This window comes from Homo sapiens, chromosome 2, assembly GCF_000001405.40.
Source record: "Homo sapiens chromosome 2, GRCh38.p14 Primary Assembly".
Classification (NCBI taxonomy): Eukaryota; Metazoa; Chordata; class Mammalia; order Primates; family Hominidae; genus Homo; species Homo sapiens.
In genome coordinates, this window is record NC_000002.12 from 147316102 (window position 1) to 147325553 (window position 9452).

At 41.8% G+C, this 9452-nt stretch overlaps 1 non-coding gene across 1 annotated transcript; it reads left to right on the forward strand.

Annotated features, from left to right (window-relative positions):
• Nucleotides 1-7869: 7869 nt before the first annotated feature.
• Nucleotides 7870-7974, forward strand: LOC124906150 (small nucleolar RNA U13). Its single transcript, XR_007088739.1, has one exon. It is a non-coding gene; the product is annotated as a small nucleolar RNA U13 (small nucleolar RNA).
• The last annotated feature ends 1478 nt before the right edge of the window (nucleotides 7975-9452 follow it).

A 9452-nucleotide genomic window follows, 5' to 3' on the forward strand; every position in this document is an offset into this window, starting at 1 on the left:
TCAGAGGCTATCAAAATAATACAAGGAAAGGATTTCACTGTCTGGACTACTCATGATGTGAATGGCATACTAGGTGCCAAAGGCAGTTTATGGCCATCAGACAACTGCCTACTTAGATACCAGGCACTACTCCTTGAGGAACCAGTGCTTCAAATACATATGTGCATAGCCATCAACCCTGCCACTTTTCTCCCAGAAGATGGGGAACCAATCAAGCATGACTGCCAGCAAATTATAGTCCAGACTTATGCCACCCAAGATGATCTCTTAGAAGTCCCCTTAGCTAATCCTGACTTTAACCTATATAACAGTGGAAGTTCATTTGTAGAGAATGGGATACAAAGGGCAGGTTATGCCATAGTTAGTGATGTAACTGTACTTGGAAGTAAGCCTCTTTCCCCAGGGACTAGCACCCAGTTAGCAGAACTAGTGGCACTTACCCGAGCCTTAGAACTGGGAAAAGGAAAAAGAATAAATGTGTATACAGATAGCAAGTATGCTTATCTAATCCTACATGCCCATGCTGCAATATGGAAAGAAAGGGAGTTCCTAACCTCTGGGGGCACCCCCATTAAATACCACAAGGAAATTATGGAGTTATTGCACACAGTGCAAAAACCCAAAGAGGTGGCAGTCTTACACTGCCAAAGCCATCAGAAGGTGAAAGAGAAAAGGCAGAAGGAAACCGTCGGGCAGATGCTGAGGCCAAAATTGTTGCCAGGCAGAACCTCCCATTAGAAATACCTACAGAAGGACCCTTGGTATGGAACAACCCCCTCCAAGAGATTAAGCCCCAGTATTCCCCTACTGAAATGGAATGGGGACTTTCACAGAGACATAGTTTTCTCCCTTCAGGGTGGTTAACAACGGAAGAAGGAAAGGTATTTATACCTGAAGGCAGCCAGTGGAAAATACTTAAAACCAATCCTTCCCTGGCAAATGACAGTTGGCTTTGTATCTCTCTTATGTTGCCACTCCCATTCCCGCAAAAAAATTGGGTCTTTAGCAACTTAACCTACCACCCTCATTATGAAGGAAAAGACCCTTTCTGACTTCTGAATATGCAATCATTAGCCGACTTCCCCATCTCTGATAGGACGTCTAACAGGACGTGCAATCCAACTTTTATGTTCTTACCTTTCCAACCTCACCTATTACACAAGTAATGAAAAGCCCATACACGGTCCTGTAACTATGAATACCATCTTAACTTTCCAAGCCCCTTTATGCATCCAATGCAACCTGCTATCAGGCCTGCCCCTGGGGCACTTACTATTCCATCAGTGTAATTACACCCTATAACTTCAAGCCCCAACTAATCATAGTAACTTCTGAGTCACTCAAACAGCTCCATTCAGATGGCTTGTCCGCCTCTCAGGGCCTCCAAAAATCATTGCCTCCTCCCTGTTTAACAAACAGTCCAGGTTTTGTAATGGCAAACATACTCCCTGGATGACCATTCACCCCTGGACCCTCTGCAGCAGCACCCCCACCACTAGTGAATGCCTTCTCATCCCCTCTTTCAATCACTCTCTCGAATGGTTCCTAGTAGATATGAAATGATTTTTTCTCCAATGGGAAAATAGAACACAGGGAGCCACTCAGTTTGCTCCAAACACCCCTTTCCAGCCACTCACCGGAGCTACCTTAGCAAGTATTCTAGGAGTATGGGAAAATGAAAACAACAAACTTACACACCTTTTTAACATATACAACCAGTTCTGTCTACCCAGCCAAGGTATATCCTTATGTGGAATGTCAACCTATATCTGCCTCCCCACTAACTGGACAGGCACCTGCATCTTAGTCTCTCTAAGTCCCAACATTAAAATTGCCCCAGAAAATCAGACCCAATTGGTACCCCTCAAAGCTCAAGTCCATCAGTGCAGAGCCATACAACTGATACCCCTATTTATAGGGCTAGGAATGGCTACTGCTACAGGAACTGGAATAGCCAGTTTATCTACTTCAGTATCCTACTACCACACACTCTCAAAGGATTTCTCAGTTTGCAAGAAATAACAAAATCTATCCTTACTCTACAATCCCAAATAGACTGTTTGGCAGCAGTGACTCTCCAAAACTGCCAAGGCTTAGACCTCCTCACTGCTGAGAAAGGAGGACTCTGCACCTTCTTAGGGGAAGAGTGTTGTTTTTATACTAACCAGTCAGGGATAGTAAGAGATGCTGCCCGGCATTTACAGGAAAAGGCTTCTGAAATCAGACAATGCCTTTCAAACTCTTATACCAACCACTGGAGTTGGGCAACATGGCTTCTCCCCTTTCTAGGTCCTGTGGCAGCCATCTTGCTATCATTCGCCTTTGGGCCCTGTATTTTTAACCCTCTTGTCAAATTTGTTTCCTCTAGGATCAAGGCCATCAAGCTACAGATGATCTTACAAATGGAACCCCAAATAAGCTCAGCTAACAACTTCTACCGAGGACCCCTGGAGTGACCCGCTGGCCCTTTCACTGGCCTAAAGAGTTCCCCTCTGGAGGACACTACAACTGCAGGGCCCCTTCTTCACCCCTATCCAGCAGGAAGTAGCTAGAGTGGTCATCGCCCAATTCCCAACAGCAGTTGGGGTGTCCTGTTTAGATGGGGGATTGAGAGGTGAAGCCAGCTGGACTTCCTGGGTCGAGTGGGGACTTGGAGAACTTTTCTGTCTAGCTAAAGTTTGTAAACGCACCAATCAGCACTCTGTAAAAATGCACCAATCAGTGCTCTGTAAAATGGACTAATCAGCAGAACGTGGCGCGGCCAAATAAGGGAATAAAAGCTGGCCACCGAGCCAGCAGTGGCAACCTGCCTGGGTCCCAGTCCCCTTCCACACTGTGGAAGCTTTGTTCTTCTGCTTTTCACAATAAATCTTGCTGCTGCTCATTCTTTGGGTCTGCACTACCTTTATGAGCTGTAACACTCACTGTGAGGGTCTGCGGCTTCACTCCTCAAGTCAGTGAGACCACAAACCCACCAGGAGGAACAAACAACTCTGGATGCACCACCTTTAAGAGCTGTAACACTCACTGCGAAGGTCTGTGGCTCCACTCCTGAAGTCAGCAAGACCACGAACCCACTGGAAGGAAGAAACTCTGGACACATCTGAACATCTGAAGGAACAAACTCCAGACATGCTATCTTTAAGAACTGTAACACTCACCATGAGGGTCCGTGGCTTCATTCTTGAAGTCAGCGAGACCAAGAACCCACTGGAAGGAACCAATTCTGGACACAGACGGATGGATCAGGGTCCCACTTAAAGAAGCAGTCTGGCTACAATCTGCCAGAGCAGCTGTGCTGTGCTGTGGGGAATTCCTCCCAGTCCAGACTGCCCAGACTCCCTGGATCCAGCAGGCCAAAATGGCGGGTTCTAGCTGCAGAAATGGCAGTCACCCCTCGCCCCGGGATCCCAGTCATTTCAGGCAGTTTCCAGCTTGCTGCCACAGGCTGGCAGCTGGGTTTCCAAGCCAATGGGTCTTAACTTGTGAGGTGCTGTGGGAGTGGAGTCCACAGAGTGATGCCACTTGGCTCTCTAACTTCTGTTCCCTTTCCAGGGGAGTGCAAGGAGGATCTTCTGTCTCACCAGAATTCCCGGGACCAGAGTATGCAAAAACCCCCATGTCTCCCTGAGTGGCATCTCTGAGTGGCCACTGAGAGACCACACACCTCTGTGCTTCAGACCCAAGGCCCTGCTGGCATGGGTTCATGAGGAGATCTGCTCCATGGGTTGCAAAGATCCGTGAGAAAATCAAGGAAAAGCAATGAGTAATTGTGTGACCCTGCCCCACTTGGCTGGAGATAGGAGTTTTCCTGGTTTCATGCCCTACCCTGTTTTTCCTTGCTCTTAGGGTCACGTTTATTGTCTAGTCAGTCCCAATGTGAGAACCTGGATACCTCAGCTGAAGATGTAGGATTCACTTGCTGTTTTCTTTCTTCTCTGTGAGAGCTGTGAACCTCAGCTGCTTCTAATCAGCCATCTTGGCCTAGGATCTATCACAACGTACATTTACAATGTACAAAGTCTCTATTAATTTAAACATTACCTTAACAATAGAAATTTAGAGAATTTCTGTTTGGTGTGAGATATGGTTTGGCTCTCTGTCCTCACCCAAATTTCATCTCAAACTTTAATCTCCATGTGTCAGGGGAGGGCCCTGGTGGGAGGTGATTGAATCATCAGAGCAGACATGCCCCTTCTTGGTCTTGTGATTATGAGTTCTCATGAGAGCTGGTTGTTTGAAAGTATGTGGCACTTCCCCCTTCTCTCTCTCTCTTTCTCCTGCTCTGCCATGGTGAGACATGCTTGCTTCCCCTTTGCCCTCCATCATGATTGTAACTTTCCTGAGGCCTCCCAGTCATGCTTCCTGTTAAGCCTGCAGAACTGTGAATCAATTAAACCTTTTTTCATAAATTACCCAGTCTCAGGTAGTTCTTTATAGCTGTGTGAAAACAGACTAATACAGAAAATTGGTACCAGGAGAGTGGCACACTGCTATAAAGGTACCTGAAATGTGGAAGCAACTTTGGAACTGGGTAATGGGTAGAGGTTGGAACAGTTTGAAGGTCTCAGAAGAAGATAGGAAGATGCAGGAAAGTTTGGAAACTTCTAGAGACTTGCTGAATGGTTTTGACCAAAATGTTGATAATGATATGGACAGTAAAGTCCAGGCTGAGGGAGCCTCAGATGGAGATGAGGAACTTATTGGGAAATGGCGTAAAGGTCACTCTTGCTATGCTTTAGCAAAGAGACTGGTGGCATTTTGCCCCCGCACTAGAAATCTGTGGATCTTTGAACTTGAGAGATATGATTTAGGGTATCTGGTAGAAAAAGTTTCTAAGCTCAAAGCATTCAAGAAGTGACCTGGCTATTTCTAAAAGTGTATGTTCATATGCATGAAGAAATAGATGGTCTGAAATTGGAACTTATATTTAAAAGGAAAGCAGAGCCTAAAAGTTTGGAAAATTTGCAGCCTGACCATATGGTAGAAAAGAAAAACTGATTTTCTGGGGAGAAATTCAAGCCGGCTGCAGAAATTTGTATACGTAATGAGAAGACAAATGTTAATAGCCAAGACAATGGGGAAAATGTCTCCAGGGCATTTCAGAGATCTTCATGGCAGCCCCTCCCATCACAGGCCTGAAGGCCTAGGAGGGAAAAATGGCTTCATGGGCCAGGCCCAGGGCTCTGCTGCTCTATGCATCCTCAGGACATGGCACCCTGTGTCCCAGCCACTCCAATTCCATCCATGGCTAAAAGGGCCCAATGTATAGCTTAGGCCATACCTTCAGAGGGGGCAAGCCCCAAACCTTGGCAGCTTCCATGTGGTGTCAGGCCTGCAGGTGTGCAGAGGCAAGAACCAAGGTTTGGAAACCTCCACCTAGATCTCAGAGGACATACGGAAACACCTGGATGTCCAGACAAAAGTCTGCATTGGGGTGGAGCCCTCATGGAGAACCTCCACTAGGGCAGTGTGGAAGGGAAATGTAGGGTTGGAACCCCCAGAAAGAGTCCCCACAGGGGCACTGCCTAATGGAGCTGTGAGAAAAGGGCCACCATCCTCCAGACTCCAGAATGGTAGCTATAACAGCAGCTTGCATCATGCACCTGGAAAAGCCACAGGCACTCAGTGCCAGCCTGTTAAAGCAGCTGTGGGTGCTGTACCCTGCAGAGCCGCAGAGGCAGAGCTGCCCAAGGTTGTGGGAGCCCACCTCTTGCATCAGCATGCCCTGGGTGTGAGACATGGAGTCAAAGGAAACTATTTCAGAGCTTTAAGATTTAATGACTGCCCTGCTGGGTTCTCAACTTGCATGGGGCATGTAGCCCCTTTGTTTTGGCCATTTCTCCAACTTGTAATTGAAGCATTTACCCAATGCCTGTACCCTTATTTTATCTTGGAAGTAACTAACTTGTTTTTGATTTTACAGGCTCAGAGGCAAAAGGGACTTACCTTGTCTCAGATAAGATTTTGTACTGTAGACTTTTGAGTTAATGCTGAAATGAGTTAAGACTGGGAGATTGTCGAGAAGGGATCATTGTATTTTGCAATGTGAGAAGGACATGAGATTTGGGAGGGGCCAGGGGTGGAATGATATAGTTTATGTTTGTGTCTCTGCCTGAATTTCATGTCAAATTGGAGGAGGGACCTGATAGGAGGTGACTGCATCATGGGGACAGATCTCCTCCTTGTTATTCTTGTGATAGTAAGTGAGTTCTCATGAGATCTGATCATTTAAAAGTGTGTGGCACTTCTCCAACCTCCTGCTCTGCCATGGTAAGACGTGCTTGCTTCCCCTTCGCCTTCTGCCATAATTGTAAGTTTCCTGAGGCCTAGCCATGCTTCCTGAACAGCCTGAGGAACCGTGAAGTCCATTAAACCTCTTTTCTTCATAAATTACCCAGTCTTATGCTTAAGAACACCGCTTCAATTATCATTTTCTTATGTGCATATTTTTGCATGAATGAATTTCCATTAGGTTAGAGCTAGAATTGCTGAGTATATACATACATTTTTATAGACAGAGTCAAATTACTCTCAGAAAAGACCAGGCTTACTTATAAAACTATCACAATGTGTAAGCATATGTGTTTTTTTACATATAATAAATCCTGGGCAAAGGTCAATGTATTTAATATTTGTCACTTTTAAGGGCAAAGATTAGAATCATTTCTGTTTAAAGTTTTAACTCTGTTATAACCAACATTTGCATTCATTCTTTTTATTTCTCCTATAAATTACTAATTCATATTTTATATTTTCTTGTTTAGGCTTTATTTTCTTATCAATTAGAAGAAATTCTTAAAATATTTTTACTACTAATTCTTGGATTTTTCAGCTGACTTCTTCCATTTCCCATAAAGTATGACTACTTACTGTTCTCTTTGCTAATTAATTAAATTAATTATATTATATTACATATATAACAGATAATATTGCATATATTTCAAATATTATATACAATATAATTAATTAGGTATTATAACACCTAATAAGTGTTATATTAGAAGTATAACACTTCTAATCCTTTTTCTTATCTAGTTTTATTTCCTAGGAATTTATTTTGAAAGCAGCAATATCAGTGGACATCTTCCTTTTATTGCTAACTTCAATAGGTATATTTTTAATTTTCATCATTGAGACACAATGGAGAAAGAACAGTCTCTTCAATAAATGGTGCTGGGAAAACTGGATTTTCACATGCAAAAGAACGAAATTAGGCCCTTATCTTACACCATATACAAAAGTCTACTCAAAATAGATTTTTTAAAAACCTATGTGTAAGACCTGAAGTCATAAATTCCGAGAAGCATAGGAGAAAATCTCCTTGAATTGCCCTTGGCAATGACGTTTCGAATATCACACTCAAAGCTCAGGTTACAAAAATAAAAATAAGCAAATGGAACTATATCAAGCTAAAAAGCTTTTGTACAACAAAGGAAATAATCAACAAATGAATAAGCAGCCTATGGACTAGGAAAAAATTATTGCAAACCACATTTCTGATAGGGGGTTAGTATCCAAAATTTATAAAGAACTCTTTCAACTCAATAGCAGAAAAATAAATAACCTGATTAAAAACTAGATAAAGGACCTAAACACATATTTCCTCAAAGAAGACATAAAAATGGACAACTAGTATATGAAAAGGTATCCAACACTACTAATCATCAGGGAAGTAAAAATTAAAATCATAGGGATCACCTCACACCTGGAGGAATGGCTACTATCAAAAAGACAAGTGATAACAAATGTTGACAAGGGTATGGAGAAAAGATAATCCTACTACTCGGTTGGTGGGACTCTAGAATGGTACAGCCATTATGAAAGACAGTATGGAGGTTTCTAAAGAAATTAAAAATAGAACTACTCATCTTTTTGTAGTTCATGAGCACGATGATTGGGTTTTCACAAGAATGTGTGAGATGTGCCACCCTCTGAACCTTTTTATGATCTTGGCACATTACCCATCTGACCTGAAAAAAAAAACAAAAAGAACTACTCTACAATCCAGCAATTCTTTTTCTGGTATACACCCAAAGGAGAAGAAATCACCACCTCATAAAGATATCTGCACTTCCATGTTCATTGCAGCATTATTCACAATAGCCAAGATATGAAAAATGAAAACAACTTAATGCCCATTGGTGTACAAATGGATAAAGAAAATGTGGTATATCTACATATTCATAAAGTTGGGCCTTGAACAACACAGTTTGAACCGCACAGATCCTCTAACGTAAGAATTTTTTCAACAAATATGTTGAAAATTGTGTGGAGATTTGCAAATATTTGAAAAAAAACTTGCAGACAAACCACATAACCTAGAAATATTAAAAAAATAAGAAAAAGGTAGATGTGTTATGAATGCATAAAATATATGGAGACACTGTTTTATCAATTGCAATGATAAAATATACACAAACCTATTAGAAAAAAACCAACATTTATCCAAACTTACGCACACAAGCACAGACCATATATGAAGCCGTTTGCTGTCAAGAGAAATGTAAACAAACGTAAAAATGCAGTATTAAATCATAACTGCATAAAATTAAGTGCATATTGTACCACTGTAATAACTTTGTAGCCACCTCCTGTTACTACTGTGGTGATTCCAAGTATTGTGAGTATCCACTTAAAGCCATGTGACACAAATCATTTCTGATGAGGATTTTGTCTCCAGTAAATTTCGTATCACAGTAAAAAGTGATACCTTGGGTTATTGTGTATTTCTCATCATGTTTAGTGCAATGTAGTAAACTTTGAATAACACCATGTGACCCCCTACAAAGTGCCACTAGTGATGCTGGACGTGCTCCCAAGGAGAGAAAAGCCATGGCATTACAAGAAAAAGTTGAATTACTTCATAGATACTATAGTTTGAGGTCTACAGCTGCAGTTGTCCAGCATTTCAAGATAAAAGAATTCAGCATAAGAACCATTGTGAAAAAAAGAAAAGAAAAATAAAATTTATGAGGTTTTTGTGCCACTGTGCAAGCAAACATGAAAACTTTGCACTTTTTGTGCAATATATTTTTATCTCATATTGAAAACCCAGCTTTTATGTGGGTATAGGATTGATATAAGAAAGGCATTCTTATAGACTCTAAAATGATTCAAGAAAAAGTGAAGTCATTATATGACAACTTAAAGCAAAAGGAAAGGGAAGGATCTAAACCTGGATAATTTAATGCCAGCAAAGAATGGTTTGATAATTTCATAAAGAGCTTTGGCTTATTAAAATGTCAGCATAACAGGAGAAGTAGTTTCTGCTGACCAAGAGTCACCAGATGAGTTCCAAGATGTCATTTAAAAAAAAAAATCATCGAGGAAAAAGAGTATCTGCCTAACACGTTTCTAATGCAGATGAAAGTGCCCTGTTCTAGAAAGAAAAAATGCCAGAAAGGACACGTATTAGTAAAAAAGAGACGTAAGCACCAGGACTTAAGGCA